At 41.8% G+C, this 19,842-nt stretch overlaps 1 protein-coding gene across 5 annotated transcripts, besides 1 other annotated feature; it reads right to left on the bottom strand.

Annotated features, from left to right (window-relative positions):
- On the bottom strand, nt 1,278–11,105 carry ODAPH (odontogenesis associated phosphoprotein). Of its 5 annotated transcripts, NR_046429.3 has the most exons (5): nt 11,022–11,105; nt 10,587–10,630; nt 3,826–3,936; nt 2,919–3,057; nt 1,278–2,783 (listed from the first exon to the last, which is right to left on the bottom strand). NR_046429.3 is itself a non-coding variant. In NM_001257072.2 (3 exons), the coding sequence occupies exons 1-3, from the start codon at nt 11,086–11,088 to the stop codon at nt 2,732–2,734; spliced, it is 258 nt and encodes an 85-aa protein (NP_001244001.1). In that variant the 5' UTR covers nt 11,089–11,105; the 3' UTR covers nt 1,278–2,731. The 5 variants fall into 5 exon arrangements, 3 of the variants coding, with proteins under 3 accessions (NP_001244001.1, NP_001193910.1, NP_848592.2); NR_046430.3 differs by lacking the exon at nt 10,587–10,630 and having other exon boundaries at nt 3,826–3,961; NM_001257072.2 differs by lacking the exons at nt 3,826–3,936; nt 10,587–10,630.
- Nucleotides 11,078–11,372: a silencer, noted in NCBI's record as "tiled region #12890; HepG2 Repressive non-DNase unmatched - State 4:PromP, and K562 Repressive DNase matched - State 8:EnhW". NCBI's record gives its function as "represses a minimal TATA promoter and a strong SV40 promoter by Sharpr-MPRA in HepG2 and K562 cells {active_cell/tissue: HepG2 | K562}" and the evidence as "EXISTENCE:reporter gene assay evidence [ECO:0000049][PMID:27701403]".

The raw sequence follows: 19,842 nt of genomic DNA, 5'->3' as shown, positions 1-19,842 counted from the left end.
TTAAATGCTTCAAAATCTATTTCCTTAAGAACAGGAATGTTCTCTTACAGAATTATGAAATTCAGGAAGTTTAACATTGACAGAATACTATTACCCAATACATGGTCCAAATTTAAAATTTGTCAGTTGTCCCAGTTATGCCAAAATGTCCTGTCCCTCCCCTTCTGACCTCCAGGATCTAATCGGAGATCACATATTGCACTGAATTGTCATCCACTTCAATCTCCTTTAATCTTTGTCTTTCATGACATCTACATTTTTGAAGATGCCAGTTTTGCAAATGTTCCTTAATTTGAGTTTTTTTTTGATGATTAGATTCAGGTTATGTGTTTTGGGCATAATTAGAACTTTAGACTTACAATACTATTGTTGTAATTCCTGCCTCAAAAGAAAAAAAATGCATTGAAGAGTTATTATACCCATCCCACAGACTCCCATTGCTTCAAAAACAGCTAGTCGAAAGGAACTAATTTGAGAAACTAATTCACATGGAGGTATTAGTGGTTCCACATTATCCTTCTAATTCAATAAACCTGCTAGGAATCTCTGTATTTAAAAAGTGAATTTATGAATCCAAAGGAATGATGCAAATTTTTCTAAGTCACAAAAGCATATTCTTCCCTCCCCCAAATAAGCCTTTTGCACTCCTAGGCCTATACTTTTAATAGCAGGTGTGGGCTGCTTCTCATATTCTATACATGTTCCAGGGTGAGGAATAATGCAATTTTACCTAGAGCTATGTTGAAAGGCCCTTACTCTGAAACACTGTAGGAGTAGCCTGCCTTCTATAATTAATGCAGTGATTAATGCATCGAAGCTGTTCATCCATCATTAGTTTGTCTTAGTTTACCTGAGGCTGGCATATTACTTAGCAAGTCCTTCAAGGACTAGATTTCAGAACGATTAAATTTTGAATTGCAAAAGTTCTAACATTTGGGAAGAGAAAGCCCAGTCAAAGGTAGGTTAGTTTTTGGCAGTTGCTGGCACTATGAGGACACTGAGTACCTAGGTGAGTGGTGAGCATGCCGGAATAAAGGAGGAGAGTCAGAAGGGGAGGTGGGTTTCAAATACAAACCTTTATCTGTCTTCAAGTTTGCCTGAAGCTGGCCCTTTTCTGGTATGTCCCCATCAACCAAAAAAAAGAGAGCAGGTAGGGTTTATTTCAAAATATAGTTTTGTTTTGTTTTTCTGAAGAGACTTTCAAGTAGGTTTTTATTGAAGCCTGTAAATTTGAAGCAAAAATCTATTCTTAAAATGAATATTTTCTAGAATGTGAATTAAATAGTTTTTTTCTTTTTTGATCATTTTAATAAAGCAAAGAAACATAGCATGATGATTTTATCTCTCTTTCCTTTTTTAGGGCAACCATTCCCAAAGTCCTTTCATGTCTTCATCCTGATTTTTTTTTTTCTGTTTTTGTAGCAGCAGCAGCAACAGCAACTTTTGCATGTAGATCTTGGGAGGAAAAAGTGCAAACCACTGACCACATATGCAGAACTAAAGTTCTTATGTTACAGGCAAGATAAGTGGCATAAACAGGAAGATGTGTTTTACAGAGTGGCCAAAACAAATAACCAATCAATGCAATCTGTGGGATTTGTTTCTCATATTGCACCCTGAGAATACAAGGTTCCAAGAGTTGAGTGAACTTATCTCTGTGGAGTTCTAGAGGTACCAGAATATTCTTGTAGCAGTTTAATCAGGCATTTTGAACCTGGAATTACGTTAAAAGTTTGAGAGGAAGTATATTATTTTAGCCAGCATCTATGTAATGATAACGGGAAACAGTGAGAAAATTATCAAATTAATTTGCATCAGTTGAAGTCAACATTAAAGTAAATTTAGATACTATAGTTTAAAAGTAATTATTTGGGGCTGGGCGCAGTGACTCATGCCTGTAATCCCAGCACTCTGGGAGGCCGAGGTGGGTGGATCACCTGAGGTCAGGAGTTCGAGACCAGCCTGGCCAACATGGTGAAACCCCATCTCTACTAAAAATACAAAAAATTGGCCAGGCTTGGTAGCGAGCACCTATAATCCCAGCTACTTGGGAGGCTGAGGCAAGAGAATTGCTTGAACCCGGGAGGCAGAGGTTGCAGTGAGCCGAGACAGCACCACTAAACTCCAGCCTGGGTAACAAGAGTGAAATTCTGTCTCCAAGAAAATAATAATAATTATTATTATTTGGGTTAGACAAGTCAGTTTATATCTTTAAAGTATTAGCTACAGTCAGACTCCTCATAACTTTTTAATTGCTTTAAGCTTTATAATTTCTTTTAAAGTTTACTTTGTCAATGCACCTTGCTCTGTATGTTTTCCAATGAGTATAAAAACGGTGTCATCAGTTTCTTCGTGTGGTTTATAATGATCTCAATTTATTTAAATCCTGTTTAATTTAGAGGAGGAGATGGATTCTCTCAGCATCTTAGTATGGATAGGAATTACTAGAGCCACCCATTTAAAGATTTTATTTGCATAAATATCCTGTGACCATAAGAGGTTGAGGATAAAAATAACGTGGTTATTGTCCAATTTTGCAACCATCAATAACCTATGATCCAATATCTTCACTGCTGACAAAGAGAACAGTTTCTAGTCAGTGATGTTTAGGATACTTAATCTTCAAATCCAATAGTTTTAGTTTCGAAAGATAAAACAGAAATCTTTTTGTTGCTTTTTTCTGAAGGATAGGCTTTTTTTTGCTTCAGTATGTTTGGGTTTCTCTTCCCTCTCAGCTTTCCTCAGATGAGCTTCCTCTCTGGAGTCTTCTTCTGGGGAAATACCTATAAGTAAGGTAACGGTGTGGCCAATAAAATGGCTGGAATGGAAAACGGTGGTTACACCTTGAAGGGACGAAAGGTCTGTTTGGAAACCTAAAATGGATTCTGGGCCTTCGTGGAAAAAAATGGAAGGGACACCTGGGTGTCTTTGTGATGGGCTGGGCCCTTGTGACCGGACTCCTCGGGGCAGGTGGAGGGGTGAGTGTAAAGATCTGGCAGTCGGTAGCGTCCGCATTATTTTGTGAATCTCCAGGAGGCGTAAATACCTCTTCTTGTCCTGTGGAGAGGAAAACGCAAGTCAGGAAACAGGTCTGGTAACAGAAGCAGAAGAGTGGTTTAGAGTGGTGGCAGAGGAGAAAGATGGGAAGAGAGAATTAGAGAAATCTCAATGTATATTTGAAAGAACTGCCAACGTTCAATGAAATGAGACACAGACACACTGGATGACCCAGCATTGCCACTGTGGGGAATTTACCCAAGAGAAATGAATGATTATGTCTATAAAAAGACTTGTTCGGGGTGTTCACAGTAGCCTTATTCATAATAGCCTAAATGGAAACAATCTAAGTGTCCATCAACAGAAGAATGCATGAAGAAACTGTGTATATTCATACAATGAAATAGTACTCAGCGATAAAAAGGAAGAACTACTAATACCCACAACATGGATACATCCCATGAATGTTGAGCAATAGAAGTTAGACACAGAAATGTACATACTGTACGACTCCCTTTATATGAAGTTCAAAAACAAGCAAAACTAATCTATAGTTAAGAAAAAGTCAAAATAATAATTCAGCTTAGGGAAAGGATAGGTATTTTTTAGCAGAAAGTGTAGCCAGGGACCACTCTTTAGAAATGTTTCATATCTTGATCTGGGTGGTTGTTACATAGATATGGTTATCTATATATCTACATGTATACACACACAGGTGTACCTACACATATATAATTTGTATATAAACAGATATATATGTACATACATATGTTTATACACATACACACATTTATATGTACCCATATGTAAAATGTAATCAAGCCTTACCTTTAAGATGTGCGGATTTTGGCCGGGCGCTGTGGCTCATGCCTGTAATCCCAGAACTTTGGGAGGCCGAGGCTGGCAGATCACGAGGTCAGGAGATCGAGACCATCCTGGCTAACATGGTGAAACCCCGTCTCTACTAAAAATACAAAAAAATTAGCCAGGTGTGGTGGCAGGCGCCTGTAGTCCCAGCTACTCGGGAGGCTGAGGCAGGAGAATGGCGTGAACCCGGGAGGCAGAGCTTGCAGTGAGCCGAAGATCGTGCCACTGCACACCAGCCTGGCTGACAGAGCGAGACTCTGTCTCAAAAAAAAAAAAAAAAAAAAAAAAAAAAAAAAAAAAAGATGTGTGGATTTTATTGCATGTAAATTATAACTAAATAAAGAAAATTCAGCTGAAAAAAAGAACTTAATTAATGTTAAGAAAATAAAAATAACTGTTCAAAAGTTCTGCTTCAACTGCCCAAGCAGTGAAATAATTTCCTAGGGGAAGGGAGGGACCATCTACAAGCAGCAGGAGAAAGAGCACTGAGAACCAGGATACAATTACTTTTTGAGAAGAAATTTGGATCAAACCCAAGTGTCATAGTCTTCCTTGGCTGTGTCATTGAATCAAATTGGCTACAAAAAAGTAATCTTTTCTTTAGAAAATTGTTCCTTCACTCCCTTAGAGGCTTACATATACAGCCTGGAAAGGGCTGCCAGTGTGAATGATGATAAAATGAACTTCCCTTGTAATCCCAGCACTTTGGGAGGCCGAGGTGGGCGGATCACCTGAGGTCAGTAGTTCGAGACCAGCCTGACCAACATGGAGAAACCCTGTCTCTACTAAAAATACAAAAATTAGCCGGGCGTGGTGGTGCATGCCTGTAATCCCAGCTACTCGGGAGGCTGAGGCAGGAGAATTGCTTGAACCCGGGAGGTGGAGGTTGCGGTGAGCCGAGATTGCGCCATTGCACTCCAGCCTGGGCAACGAGAGCAAAACTCCGTCTCAAAAAAAAAAAAAAAAAGAACTTCCCACAGGAAGTTGAGAGTGCTGAGGCACTTATAAAGGACTAGATTCCCCTCTCATTTGGGACAGTTGAATTCAGGTTTCTTGGCTGTATTGGATACGCTTGTTACTTGCCTATGTCCACAGTCCCTCATACATATATTCTGTTTCATCGACGAACCCTGGAAATGTCAGTTGTCAGTCCTACGCACCTTCTGGCTATGGCTGATTGGACCACTGATAGACACTCAACTCATTCACTGTCTGGTCAGTGACCAATCAGATTCTCACTTAAGAATTGAGCCACAGTGGAAGACGTCAGTGGAAGGTGTAGGGCAGGGGCTGGAGTGTCAGGTTTTGTCCTGTGGAATGTTGAGAATGCAGAGAAGCCAGTCTGCACATAGAAGCAGCAAAATAGGGAAGGCTTCCGGGACAGAGGAAGAGACCAGAGCCTTGTGGTAACAGAGTGATGTTGGGAGCAGCAGCCTTGGTGTGTGTGTGTTTCTTTTTTTTCGACGGAGTCTCCATCTGTTCCCCAGGCTTGAGTGCAGTGGTGAGATCTCGGCTCACTGCAGCCTCCACCTCCTGGGTTCAAGTGATTCTCCTGCCTCAGCCTCTTGAGTAGCTGGGATTACAGGTGCCCGCCACCACGCCTAGCTAATTTTTGTATTTTTAGTAGAGATGGGGTTTCCCCATGTTGGCCAGGCTGGTCTCAAACTCCTGACCTCAAGTGATCCACTTGCCTTGGGCCTCTCAAAGTGCTGGTGTTATAGGCGTGAGCCACCATGGCCGGCCAGTTTTTGGCTTTTCAGGGAGCCCTAGCTATTCTTAAGTTTCTTGGAGATATCCTTATAATAATCAATCTACCTCCAGCTCTACTTGTTTCTAAAGCTAGCTTGAATGGGTGTCTGTTCCTTGAACAAAATACCAACCCCTTCTCCCACAGCTACTCAGGGTACATTGAAATTCTAAAACTGAAACTAGATTGAGACACTTTAAACTGCAGAAAACGACCAAATCCCACATTAGTAGCTTTTTTCCTGCTAAGTTCTGAACCTTACAGGAAGAAGACATTCTGCCAAGAATCTAGTCGCTAGGAGAGAAGCTAGTCTCGTTTTTTTTTTTTTTTTTTTTTGAGATTGAGTTTCGCTCTGTTGCCCAGGCTGGAGTGCAGTGGCGCGATCTCGGCTCACTGCAAGCTCCGCCTCCCGGGTTCACGCCATTCTCCTGCCTCAGCCTCCCGAGTAGCCGGGACTACAGGCGCGCGCCACCACGCCCGGCTAATTCTTTTTTTAAAATACTTTTAGTAGAGACGAGGTTTCACCGTGTTAGCCAGGCTGGTCTCGATCTCCTGACCTCGTGATCCGCCCGCCTCGGCCTCCCAAAGTGCTGGGATTACAGGCGTGGCCACCACGCCCGGCCAAGCTAGCCTCTCTTTTAAGCCCCATCTTGACATTTTGCTGTCAGCTCAGGCTTAACGAGGCCTTGAGCTCTGCCACTAGGTTAACTGTGCTCCAGCTGTTAAAAACCACCCACCCACCCGCCTCTTGTGCTCATTTCATTTCTAGAAACCTGAAGCTACTCTCTAAATCCTCCTCTAACAATTGGGTTTCAGAGCCTGCAAGGCAAGTTTTCTCTGACTCTGGGATGTCCAGTAGTGTTCAGTGCTCTCTTTTTCTGGGAATTTTCAAGGGTTCAAGATCAAGGTATAAGCTTGCTTCAATCACTTACCCAGGAATGTGGGCAGGACCCCATAAAACCACATTCTTCCAAACAAACTAGACCTATGGTGATCCTATCGGGTCGCTAGTTAGCTAGCACAAGTGTCCTAAAATGTGGGAACAATAGTGATTGGTTTGGGAACCTGTCACATCTTACAAAGTTAGGGCCACACATCTGAGAAAGTGGGTTGATGCCATTTATGGTCTGTGACTTCAGCTGATCTAACACTGCTCATTAATTCTTTTATCTTTGTTCTTCTCTGTTCCTTATCTTCTAAACCTTTGCTATCTTCTCAAATTTCCCTCAAAATTTTCATTCTTCATTCATCTGAAGAATTTGCTTTGAAACTCTCTCTACCTTTCTAAGTTGATTAATCAGCTTCATATTCCGGAGAGAAAGCTGAGGTAATCTGCCATGAACTTCTTTGGTTCCTACTCCTCTCTCTTTAAAGTCTGTACACCTACTGATTCCACTTCTCCCCCTATTTAATCCATTGGAATCTAACCCTGCCTCCTTCCCTCTCCAAAAACCACTTTGGCAAAAGTCATCAATTGTCCTGGGCTTCTGAAAAGGTGGTTGCAGATGCCCAGAGCACTCTTTGCCTGGCTAACTCCTGTTCAAGTCTCTCTCTCTCTCTCTTTTTGTCAGGGAGGCCTTTCCTACCCAGAGGCTTGGTTAAAACCCTTTGCAACATGCTTTCTTAGCACCCTGTGAGTCCACTTTCATCATACTCATCAGCTGTGTGATTATTATTCAGTGGCTATATGCCTGCTCCACTGAAAGATCTACGTGACCGTCTTGTAGACTGCTGCCTCCTCATCCCTAGCACGGTGCCTCCAGTACAATTGAATTGATTGAGAGAAATCTCAGTTTCTATAATTGCAAAGTTACCAAGTTCCTACTTCTCAGGAGTAGTGTGTTGAATAATAAGCAAATATTTCCCCGTATGTAACATACTGACATGCTATCAAAGGCACTGGATGTCAAAGATGAGAGCTCTTCTGCAAGCTTAATAAGACCAAAGTAGGTCAAATATTTAAATGTAGATTAAAAACATTTTGAGAGGCAGAATAGCAAAGTGTTTAAAAGGATAGGCTCTAGAGCCAGGCTTCCTGAGCTCTGCCATTTCATAACTGGGTGAACACAGATAGATTCCTTAACCTCTTTGAGTCTCATTTTCCTCCTTTGTAAAATGAAGAAAAGAATACTACCCATCTCATCATCTCTTTGTGAGTGTTACCGGAAATAAAATGTGTAAAGTGCTGAGAACATTGCTGGACATACAGTTCACACTTAATAAGTGTTAGCTACGGTTATTAATCTTGAATGTTATGGAAACATTCTGTTAGCCTGAGCACCATTTTCTTAGGCCCATAAAATTTGTGCATTAAAGATAGGGCTACTGGGGACACACGTTACTAGAATAGGACCTCGCCAATGACAGGGACTGTTGACTCTTGGTCACTGCCGGTGTCTCCAGCACCTAGAATAGTCCCTGGCTTATAGTGGTGCTCAGTAAATACTTGATGAGTTAAATGGTCAGGCCGACCTTGAATGTTCCTCTCTGTATATTTTGTGGAGTTCAGTGAGTATTTAATTTCAGTCGCAGAAAATCTGCAATAATAAATTATATTAAAAATTGGCTGGGCGTGGTGGCTTACACTTATAATCCCAGCACTTTGGGAGGCTGAGCCAGGCAGATTACTTAAGCTCAGGAGTTCAAGACCAGCCTGGCCAACATGGTGAAACCTCGTCTCTACTAAAAACACAAAAATTAGCCGGGCATGGTGGCAGACACTTGTAATCCCAGCTACTCTGGAGGCTGAGGCAGGAGAATCATCTGAACCCAGGAGGCGGAGGTTGCAGTGAGCTGAGATAGTGCCACTGCACACTCCAGCCTGGGCGACAGAGGGAGACCCTGTCTCAAACAAACATACAAACAAACAAACAAAAAAATTAGAGTATAATAGAAAAAACAAGGCAAAATATTGCTTGGAATTTGAATATCAGTTTTAAGGTGGTTTATTATAGTCTAGACATGAAATTCACAGCATACCAACAACTACTTTAAAAACAAGTACTTTTTTAAAAAAAGGTAATGATGAAAGACCTTTTTTTTTTTTTATAATTACCTATACTCTGTGGTTATTTGGGCAGACAAAGCTGGCTTGCAGTGAACTATACTGATTTTAAGAGAAGTCAGCTTTCTACTTAAAGTTTAAGTGTGCAGTTCTTCCCTTACATGGTGCATGGAGTCTTAGAAACTAATTCTCATGTGCTTTCAGACTTGAGCCAGAAAGAATAAGTTCTATGATTGATTTACTCACAATAACTGCAAAACTCAATTTATTTTGTAGACTCAAAGAATGACTATCTTGGTCAAATCTCTAATTTCACAGATAAAATATCAGAGCCCAGAAAGTATCAGACAGGCCCCTTTCAATTCTATGCTGTGAGTCAAGTTGTTTCAACAGGTACAGGTTACTACATTAGGGGCTCTGGCAAACGCAGAGATGATTAAGATTAAGAGCCTGAGCTCAAGGAGTGGGCAGATGCTATGAAGCCAGGGATCTGCAGCAGAGAGCAGATGCCATACGTGCCGTAGGTGATGCACAAATAGCTGTAAGAATTCAAAGGTGTCAGAAAGAGAAACTGCAATTTTAAAATTATTATGTCTTAACAAAGACTTTGTCAAGGCAAAATCATAGTGGCATTTAAATGTTGTGCCTTAAAGCGGAACTGCAACAAACAGAGGTGAAAGCAAGTGGAGGGAGCAGCTGTGGTTGCTGCCGTGCATCAGTGAGAAGAGGATGAGTATGGAGATCCACACATGACCTTGTCGGGCAGACCCAGGGTGTGTGTGAACGAGCGATGAACTGGAAGCAGGGGCTGCTGGGATAGAATGAAGCTACATTTGAAGGACTTCGAGGGATTGTAGGGAAAAGTGAGCCAAATTCGGAAATCAAATCTGGTGTTTCAATGGGTGTTTTGTTTTTTGAGACAGAGTTTCACTCTTGTTCCCCAGGCTGGAGTGCAATGGCACGATCTTGGCTCATGGCAACCTCCACCTCCTGGGTTCAAGCGATTCTCCTGCCTCAGCCTCCCGAGTAGCTGGGATTACAGGCATGCACCACCACACCTGGCTAATTTTGTATTTTTTGTAGAGATGGGGTTTCTCCATGTTGGTCAGGCTGGTTTTGAACTCCCGACCTCAGGTGATCTGCCCACCTCGGCCTCCCAAAATGCTGGGATTACAGGTGTGAGCCACTGTACCCAGCCTCAGTGGGTGTTTTTAAGATGTGAATAAAATAAATCTCTAATCTCATTATAACTTGTTTAGCTATGTGTTTACAAAGCCTCCTGAAGAGCGGTTCACTTTTTGCAGAGAAAGTGGCAGGTGGCTAGTTTTGTTTTATGATGCTTCTTTTAGATGTCACTTTTAGTAGGTGAGGCTTGGGGGCCTTGCCTTGGGATATGGGGGCAGGTTTTGTTCATAATCTATGCCCTGTCCCCTGATTGCCAGAGTGTGTGCAGAGGTTGGATCAGGGGGTTTCTGAGTGTTCCACAACCAGCTCTTATGTCTCTCCCCTCCTCCTGTCTATTGTGAGCTCTGAGGGATGGGAACGGGGAATCTGTCTGGGGATGAGCAGGGTTTGGCTGAGCCCCTGCAAAGCCCCCTACCCAAGACATGTGAAAGGGGTGAAGTGCTCTGTTTGACTCCTAGGTCCATCTTCCGTAAACAGCATCTAGTTTTGGAATTAAAATAAACTGAAGAAAAGGTTAGATCTAGGCTCCCCAAGATTTCCTCCCCTTGTATTTCCCTCTTTTCATCCCTTCCCCAGCCTTTTCTTTCCTTTTCCTAGGGGTTTGCAAACCAATTGTAAGGCTCAGGACACATTTTGTAGTGGGAACAAAGAAAGAGAATAGGAACAGTTGAGAAATGGAATCTAATAAAATCCTAAAGAAAGAAACCTGTGCCCACCTCTGTGGCACCAAAATGCAGCTCAATAGATGTGATTAATTAAAGCAATGAACAAAGACTAAATACCCACCATGTGCAAATTAATATGCTGCTGGAGATAGAAAGTGGACAGTGCTGTAATTCAAAGTGGAATTGTTAGCTTTGTAACCATAATAACTAGTATTTGTACAGTGTTTTTAGCTTGAAGAGTTTTTCACAGATGATAGCTCATTTGGTCCTTGCAAACCCCATAACGATGGATATTGTTAATGTTGTCACTTCACATATGAGGAATCTGATACTCAGAGATTTTAAGTGTGTCTAAAGTCACAGAGCTATTGCTGAGACGAGGACCAAGGTCTTCAGGTGACAAAATCCAACTTCCTTCTCTTTAACCACACAGGCTGATGGAAGCTGAGGTAAATATTTCCAATTTATGGGAACGTATAATCATGGAGCCAGTTTTGTCTTTTCCTACAACTTATTAATTAGTGGACCCACAGTAGAATAAAAGCAAAACCCTTACCTTCTGCCACAGTTACCACCAACCAGCATACCAGTAACCAGTAGGAGAAGCAGTGTCTGCGAGCCATGGCTTCTACTGAGCAGTCACTGCGTTGAACCTGATGTTGCTTTAAAGGGGAGCTGGTGAGTCACCAGCAGCCTGATTCAGGTAATTTGCATTTGCACAGTGGACCACAGAGATCAGGGCTTGCGGTGTGAGGGTAAGAAATCAGCAAGGAAATACCAGACAGTATTTGTCAACCAGAAGCTTCTTGGAATGACAGCCAGATATCAATCATCTCCCCCCAGAGGGGGATTTTGGACAACCGCACCTTCACCATCCTTCTAATCTCTCAAATCTTCTCCCATGTTAGTGCCTTTTAGTTGTGTATATCAGTCTTCCTCTGCAAGAGAAATAAGCTGTCCAGAAATATGCAACAGTGCTTCTCTCTGTGCAGCTTACCTACTTAAAAAGCGAAACAAGAGGGAGAGGGCATTACCCGGAGGCTTCCTGACCCCGGTGGTTTGCAGTGGAGAGTTGGGGATCATTCTTAGGCCCCCAACCAGGGTTTATGCTGCTTCTCTGCTCTGCTTTTGTCCAGGAGGTGAGGGCAGCAGAATCAGAAAGTGATCTTCCCTAGTGGTCATGATGGTCACTGTCTAAACAAACATAAACATTGGGAGAGTAACTTAGTGAGTCGTCCTTTCACGGCTCCTCCTGATTCACCATATTGCATATAAAATGGACATGACATGTCTATGTCCAGTTGGTTTCCTGAGAGAAAGACTTCATCAGCTGCTGGATATATGAGAGGGGATTGTCACAGGTGATTAAGAACATGGACCTTGGAGTCAGGTAAAATTCCAGTCTTTGTTCCTTTTCTTACTAGCTGAGTGACTGTGGTGAGTCCCTGAGACTTGCTGAAGCCTCAGGGGCCTCACCTGTAAAATGGGACTTGTGGTACTACCCTCAGAGGAATTTGTGAATTAAGGAGATGCTTTTAAAAAAAATTTTTTTTAAATTTCAATCTTTTGGGGTACGAGTGGTTTTGGGTTACATGGATGGACTCTATGGTGGCGAACTCTGAGATTTTAGTGCACTCGTCACCCGAGCAGTGTACACTGCACCCAATATGTAGTCTTTTATCCCTCACCTCCTTCCCAACCTCCCCCACCCCTAGCCTCTAAAGTCCATTATATCATTCTGTATGTCTTTGTGTCCTCATAGCTCAGCTCCCACGTATAAGTGAGAACATACGATATTTGGTTTTCCATTCCTGAGTTACTTAACTTGGAATAATGGCCTCCAGCTCCATCCAAGTTGCTGCAAAAGACATTATTTCATTTTTTTATGGCTGAGTAGTATTCCATGGTGTATTTCTACCACATTTTCTTTATCCACTCGTTGGTCGATGGCCACTTAGTTGGTTTCATATCAAGGAGATAATTGACATACAGCTCCAACCACAGTGCCTGGCCTGTGAAAGGGAGTGTTTGTGATTGTCATTAAATTATAATAATCCCAACTGATAATTTATTCTCTTAGGAGGCTGTACTTGCCAAATCAGTTAATCACTGGAAAGACCTCCACTTTAAGCAGAACATTTTCCTGGGTATCATGGAAAAAAAAAAAAAAAAAAAAAAAGAACAAACTAAACATGGTCCCTGTCTTTGAAGGACTGACAATCTAACAAGAGAGGCTGTGCAAACTGAAAGTCTAAATGAATAAGGATGCAAACACTCACAGATAGAAAATGGAAAGTTCCTCAGGCTTGATGTTAGTCCTAGGCAAACTTCCAGAACAGATAATCAGATGGATGATTTGTCAGCAGTTTGAAAAGGAATCAGGAAACATCCAGGACAAATTGAGTTCCTTAGACTACCCATTCATTCAATAATTCTGTATTGACTTTTATTTATTCAGTGTCAGACACTGGTCAAGGTGCTGGGGCTAAAGATAAGATTCCTGCTCTCATGGAACTTATAGTTTAGGAGACATTAAAAATTAACTCAGGAATAACAATAAAGCGTTTTGAGTGCTAAGAGAGGGGAAGGACTGAAGGCTATGGGAGAACGAAGCAGACAAACACAGTCTGTAATTTTACATCAACGGGTCAGTATCACATATGCTACTTTGTCCCCTGCATTGTAAATACACCACAATGCCAATAGAATTAGATTCACATAATCACTTCAGCCACTGCCTGGTGTTTCATTTTATAGATTTACTGTAATTTATTTAACCAAACTTTTAACTGATGGACATTTCTATTACTTCTTCTGATTCTCTTTCTTTTTTGTTTTGGAGTGCTAATGAGCTTTCATCTTAAATGTTGATGAAAATAAATAACAAAAGCAAAATAACTTATTTTTTCATTCAAATCTGTTGTTCTGAAGTTTATAAAATAAAGGAACAAAATTTTAAAAGGAATACATTTTTTTTTCTTTTGAGATGGAGTGTCATTCTGTTGCCCAGGCTGGAGTGCAGTGGCACCATTTGGCTCACGGCAACCTCTGCTTCCTGGGCTCAAGCAATTCTCTTGCTTCAGCCTCCCGAGTAGCTGGGATTACAGGGCTACTCAGGAGGCTGAGGCATGAGGGTGTGCCACCACACCCAGCTAATTTTTTTGTATTTTTGGTAGAGACGGGATTTCACCATTTTGGCTAGGCTGGTCTCGAATGCCTGACCTCAGGTGATCTGCCCACCTCGACCTCCCAAAATGCTGGGATTACAGGTGTGTGCCACCGCGCCTGGCCAAGGAACACAATTTAAAAAAATTTTATCAAATTCTTATCCAGCAGAAAATTCCAACATTTCTTTGTTATTAGTGTATAGAATAACTAAGTCTCGGCATATCTTATGTCTTTGTATGTTATATATACAGTGGAGCCAAGTGTTTCCCAACATGTAAAATCAATGAAACTGTTGTGAAGTTATCAGATTCATTTGCCAAAAATCCTCATACCTTAAAAATATGAAAATATTTCTGAAAGCTTATTTCAAATGCAGTAGTTTTGGTAAAAATATCTTTTTAGTCATATACTTTAATTATCCACAAATCATTTAGTTGCAGACTGATCAATGAGACTCTAATGTGTATGTTTCCCAATGTCAAGAAGGCTATAAATGGCTTTGAGTCACAGTTGTTAATCCAGTGTGTTAAGGGGAAGAGCCCATGTACATAGGCCAGTTTGTGTTAGGTCTTTTTCTCACAATGAGAAATTATGAGGTATTGAGAGGAGTTAACATTTCTTTCCTCAAGACTGAAAGACATTAAGTGGTAAGATTGAGAGTCAGAACTGAGATTTTTCTGATTCCAAAATTTATGTTTTTTCTTCTAATTAAATATACAGTCATATGCTGTATAATGACTTCTTGTCAATGACAGATTGCATATATGACAGTGGTTCCATAAGATTATAATGGAACTGAAAAATTCCTATTGCCTAGTGACTTTGTAGATGCCATAAAGTCATAGCACAATACATTACTCACATGTTTGTGCTGATGATCCTGGTATAAACAAACCTGCTGCACTGCTAGACATGAAAAAAGTATAGCACTTAAAGTTATGCATAGTACATACTTGGTAATGATAAATGACTACATTACTGGTTTATGCATTTACTATACTATAGTTTTCATTGTTACTTAAGGCTGTACTCCTTCTATTTACAAAAAATAAGTCTGTTCTAAAATAGCTTCAGGCAGGTCCTTCAGGAAGTATTCCAGAAGAAGGCATGGTTATCATAGCAGATGGCAGCTCTATGCATGTTATTGCCCCTGAAGATCTTCCAGTGGAACAAGATGTGGAGGTGGAAGACAGTGACAGTGATGATCCTGACCCCGTGTAGGTCTAGGCTAATGTATATGTTTGTGTCTTAGTTTTTAATAAAAAAGTTTAAAAAGTAAAAAAAAAATTAAAATTTTAGAAATAGAATAAAACTTATAGAATAAGAATACAAAGAAAGTATGTTTATACTACTGTACAATGTGTTTGTATTTTAAGGTAAGTGTTATTACAAAAGGTCAAAAGGTTAAAAATTTTTAATTTTGGCCGGGCGCGGTGGCTCACGCCTGTAATCCCAGCACTTTGGGAGGCCGAGGCAGGCGGATCACGAGGCCAGGAGATCGAGACCATCCTGGCTAACATGGTGAAAACCCATCTCTATTAAGAATACAAAAAAATTAGCCAGGCGTGGTGGTGGGCGCCTGTAGTCCCGGCTACCGAGGAGGCTGAGGCAGAAGAAAGGCATGAATCCGGGAGGCGGAGCTTGCAGTGAGCCGAGATCAGGCCACTGCATTCCAGCCTGGGTGACAGAGTAAGACTCCGTCTCAAAAAAAAAAAAAAAAAAAAAAAATTAAATTAATTAAATAAATAAAATTTATTTATTTTTTCAGACAGAGTTTCACTCTTTTGCCCAGGCTGGAGTGCAATGGTGCAATCTCGGGTCAACACTGCAACTTCCACCTCCTGGGTTCAAGCAATTCTCCTGCCTCAGCCTCCGGAGTAGCTGAGATTATAGGCATGCAACACCATGCCCAGCTAATTTTTGTATTTTTAGTAGAGACGGGGTTACACCATGTTAGTCAGAATGGTCTCGAACTCCTGACCTCAGATGATCCACCTGCCTCGGCCTCCCAAAGTGTTGAGATTACAGACGTGAATCACCGCACCTGGCCAAATTTAATGTTTTTAATTTAAAGATTTATAAGTAAAATAGTTATAGTAAGATAAGGTTAATTTATTATTGAAGAAAATATTTCCATAAATTTAGTATAGCCTAAGTGTGCAGTGTTTATAAAGTCTTTAGGAGTGTAATGTCCTTCACGTTCACACACCACTCATTCACTCACTGCCCCACCCAGAGCAACTTCCCATCCTGCAAGCTCCATTTGTGGTAAGTACCCTACAGGTGTATTTTTTTTAATCGTTTATATGGTATTTTTACTCTTCCTTTTCTATGTTTGGATACACAAACACTTATCATTGTGTTACAACTGCCTACAGTATTCAGTACAGTAACATGCTCTACAGGTTTGTAGCCTAAGAATAATAGGCCTATACCATATAGCCAAAGTGCGTAGTAGGCTATACCAACTATGTTTGTGTAATGCCTACTATGATGTTGGCACAATGATGAAATTGCCTAATGATGCATTTCTTAGAGAATATCCATTTTGTTAAGCAATTCATGACTGAATTCCCTTTGTTTTAAACATCCATTCATTCATTCATTCATTTACTCAGTAATTCATTAGTGTATTTATGTTCTTATTTTAATGGACTCTTTTGTTTTATATCCTTCTTCTTAACAACCTGTGAGAAAGGAGGCTCTTTCCTGCCAGCACCACTTAGGAAAGTCCCAGGGAAGATCTCTGGTTGGCCAAGCCTAGGTCTTGTGCCTGGGGAGGGCGGGAAGTGTCCATTACTAGAGGAAGTGTGGGGACAGCAGAGACTGGGCCACTGGGGATGTCAGCCGAGGAGCTACCCTGATTCGTGTGTAGTGCACCTATAGCGTCAAGTGGCCTTCCCACACAATCAATCCCAGTATGTGTGTGTTACTCAGAATGCCGGATAACAGGTATAGGACAATCAACGTTCCTGTGAAAAAGAAAAGAGAACAACTGTTTATGACCCAAAGCCTGGGATTGCTATAAACAATACTTACACTGTAATGCTTCCTTGTGGGGAGAATGTTAGGAAATAGTTGTCAGTGACTGTAGGATCTTGTGGTTCAGTGACATCTTGGCATGTGAACTTGTCCCAACCAATTGTCAACCAAGACGGAATTATTCATTGGTTTGTCTGTTCAGTGTCTGTATCTAAGTCACCTTGAAAAAAAGTTTCCAATATATGTAGTGGGACATATTGTCACAGAAGGAATACTAATCTAAGAAGGCTTTGTTGAACTTCTTAGGGGAAAGTTCCTGATGTCCTCCACAACAGGTTTGGAGCCCAGAGAAGCAGGGCCTCTGGCACCTGGGAGCGTAGCTTAGGGAGTTGAACTTTGCTGTCTCATCACTTAGTTCATTCAACAACTATTTATTGGGTGCCCACTATCTGCCAGACACTATTCCAGGGGCTTGGGATACAGGTAAAAATATCTGTTCCAGTGGAGTTAACATTCTAGTGTGGTAGAGACAAAGAATAAACAATAAATACAACACATGAGTAAGTTAGTTAATATGTTAGAATATTCCAAAATAGGTGCTATAAAAAAATAAAAGATGATCAGGGTAAGGAATGTGGGGGAGTTGGAATTTTAATTAGAAGATGATATTCTGGTGGGCACCGTGGCTCATGCCTGTAGTCCCAGCACTTTGGGTGGCTGAGGTGGGCAGATCATTTGATCCCAGGAATTAGGAGTTCGAGATTGGCCTGGGCAACATGAGAAAACACTATCTTTGCAGAAAATACAAAAATTATCCAGGTGTGGTGGCCCATACCTGTAGTTCCAGCTACTTGGGAGGCTGAGGTGGAAGGATCACTTGAGCCTGGGAGGTCGAGGCTACAGTGAGCTGATGGTACCACTGCACATCAGCCTGGGTGACAGAGTAAGACCCTGTCTCAAAAAAAAAAAAAAAGAAAAAAATAGGTATTCCAACAAGGACTTGAGGGAGGTGGGTAAATTATCCATGTGCATATCTGGAGGAAGAATGTATCAGGCAGAGAGTACAACCAGTGCCAAGGTCCTGAGACCAAAGTAGGCTTGGGATGTAACGTAGGACAGCAGGGAGACTGTTGTACCTGAGGCTGAGTGAGTCAGGGGGACAGGCATAGAAGAGGTCAAGGATTAATGGGAGGGGAGATCATTATTCTGAGTGAAATGGGAGCCACTGGAGGGTTTTTCAGAGAGGTGTAACATGATCTTACATTTAAAAAGGACAACTCTGATCACTATGTAGAGATGGCTGGGGGCAGGACGGTCCAGTTATAGCAGACAGCTGCAATAGTTTTGTGGGGAGATGATGTGACTCAGATTGGGATGGTAGTGGTGGAGGTGTGAGAAATGGGGAAATTCAGGACATATTTTGAAGGTAGAATTGACAGGATTTCCTGATGAACTGGAAAAGGGTGTGAGAGACACTGGGGAGTCATAGATAATACCATGGCTTTTGGTCTGAGCATTTGACCGCTGGAGTTAGGTGTGTTCAGATGACGAGATTACGGTTGAATTAAAAAAAAGTTATTATTTATTTATTTTTTTGAGACAGAGTTTTGCTCCGTTGCCCAGGCTGGAATGCAACGGCATGATCTGGGCTCACAGCAACCTCCGCCTCCTGGGTTCAAGCGATTCTCGTGCCTCAGCCTCCCGAGTAGCTGGGATTAAAGGCACGCGCCACCACACCCGGCTAACTTTTTTTTTTGTATTTTTAGTAGAGACAGGGTTTCACCATGTCAGCCAGGCTGGTTTCAAACTGCTAACCTCAGGTGATCCACCCGCCTCAGTCTCCCAAAGTGTTAGGATTACAGGTGTGAGCCACTGCGCCCGGTCCTATTTTTTTTTTTTTTTAATAAATAAAAAATTGGGAGAATAAAAATGTCTTGTTTTGGAAGATACCTAGACACTTTAATGAGTAAATACTAAGAAATTTTACAACAAGTTATTGAAAGAGTGTGTGGAGGGGGGCTGGGCACAGTGGTTCACGCCCGTGATCCCTGCACTTTGGGAGGCCCAGGAGTTTGAGACCAGCTTGAGTCACATGGCAAAACCCCGTCTCTTAAAAAAAAAAAAAAATAAAAATTAGCTAGGTGTGGTGGCGCTGGTAGTCTCAGCTACTTGGGAGGCTGAGGTGGGAGGATCGCTTGACCCTGTGGAGGTCGAGGCTACAGTGAGCCATGATTGTGCCACCACACTCCAGCCTGGGTGACAGAGACCCTGTCTCAAAAAAAAAAAAAAAAAAAAGCGTCTGTGGAAGGATGGATAAGGGGCGAGCGCTGTGGAATGTCAACAATGGGGAAGTGAGATTTCCACATCTGGGCATGAAGGCCTGGTTGGCAGTGTGCCAGGAGCCTTGTGTCCAGAGCAGCTTTGTTGGGGGAGAAAGGACGAGGTGAGCAGATGAGCCGGTGGGTAAGGCACAGTTTCTGTTGACCCACATGGGCTCTGCATTCTCTGGCTTGCCCTGTTTTACCACCTGTGACCTCCTATAATAGCAGGCCCTTGAATAACAAAGTTTTGTTATAAAGTTGATGAGGGGGAAAAAAAGTTGATTTCTGGCTCGGGCCGCTGTGTGTGTGGAGTCTGAGTGTTCCCCCCAGGTCTGCATGGGTCTTCTCTGGGTGCTCTGGTTTCCTCCCACTTTCCACAGCTGTGCAGGTTAGGTGAACCGGCGTGTCCACGTGGTCCCAGTGTGAGTGAGTCTTGCTGTGTAAAGGAGCTTGCCCTGTAATGGGATGGTGTCCTGGCCAGGGCTGGTTCCCACCTTGAACCCTGAGCTGTCAGGACAGGCTGCGGCCACCGGTAATCCTGAACTGGAATCATTGGGTGAATAAATAACTTACTCGTTTTTATTAATTTTTCTTAAGTGTATGTAGAGCTCACATTTATTTCAATGTTTAATATTAGAAGTGTTTTGGCTCTGATGTTTACTACTTTATGTAGTAAGGTTTGGTAGTATTTTTATGACCAGAAATATGCGGTAGAATCTTAACTCCTGTTTCTATCCATTAGCTTATGGTAAAATTGGTTTCTTTATAGTTATTTCGTTTAAAATCGTGGTTTCCAAGAAACTGCTATCAACGCTGTTAGTGAGAACTTAGACTGAAATTGTGTTTTGTGTATGCCCTCCCTCTCTGAACGTTGGGACCCTTGATGGCAAGAACAGAGTCTTTTAA

Source organism: Homo sapiens, chromosome 4 (assembly GCF_000001405.40).
Source record: "Homo sapiens chromosome 4, GRCh38.p14 Primary Assembly".
In the NCBI taxonomy this organism is placed as follows: Eukaryota; Metazoa; Chordata; class Mammalia; order Primates; family Hominidae; genus Homo; species Homo sapiens.
Note: the sequence above shows the minus strand (reverse complement) of the source record. Positions and strands in the feature narration are given on the sequence as shown.

What these genes read in the sequence shown, in the direction of transcription:
- ODAPH (NM_001206981.2), bottom strand. Translation starts at nt 11,088, where the DNA reads ATGGCTCGCAGACACTGCTTCTCCTACTGGTTACTGGTATGCTGGTTG. An exon ending in GGTGGTAACTGTGGCAGAAG is followed by an intron (nt 10,631 to 11,021) that starts GTAAGGGTTTTG and finishes TTTGAATTACAG; the next exon opens with CACTGTCCACTTTCTATCTC. An exon ending in AGCATATTAATTTGCACATG is followed by an intron (nt 3,058 to 10,586) that starts GTGGGTATTTAG and finishes TCCTCTCCACAG; the next exon opens with GACAAGAAGAGGTATTTACG.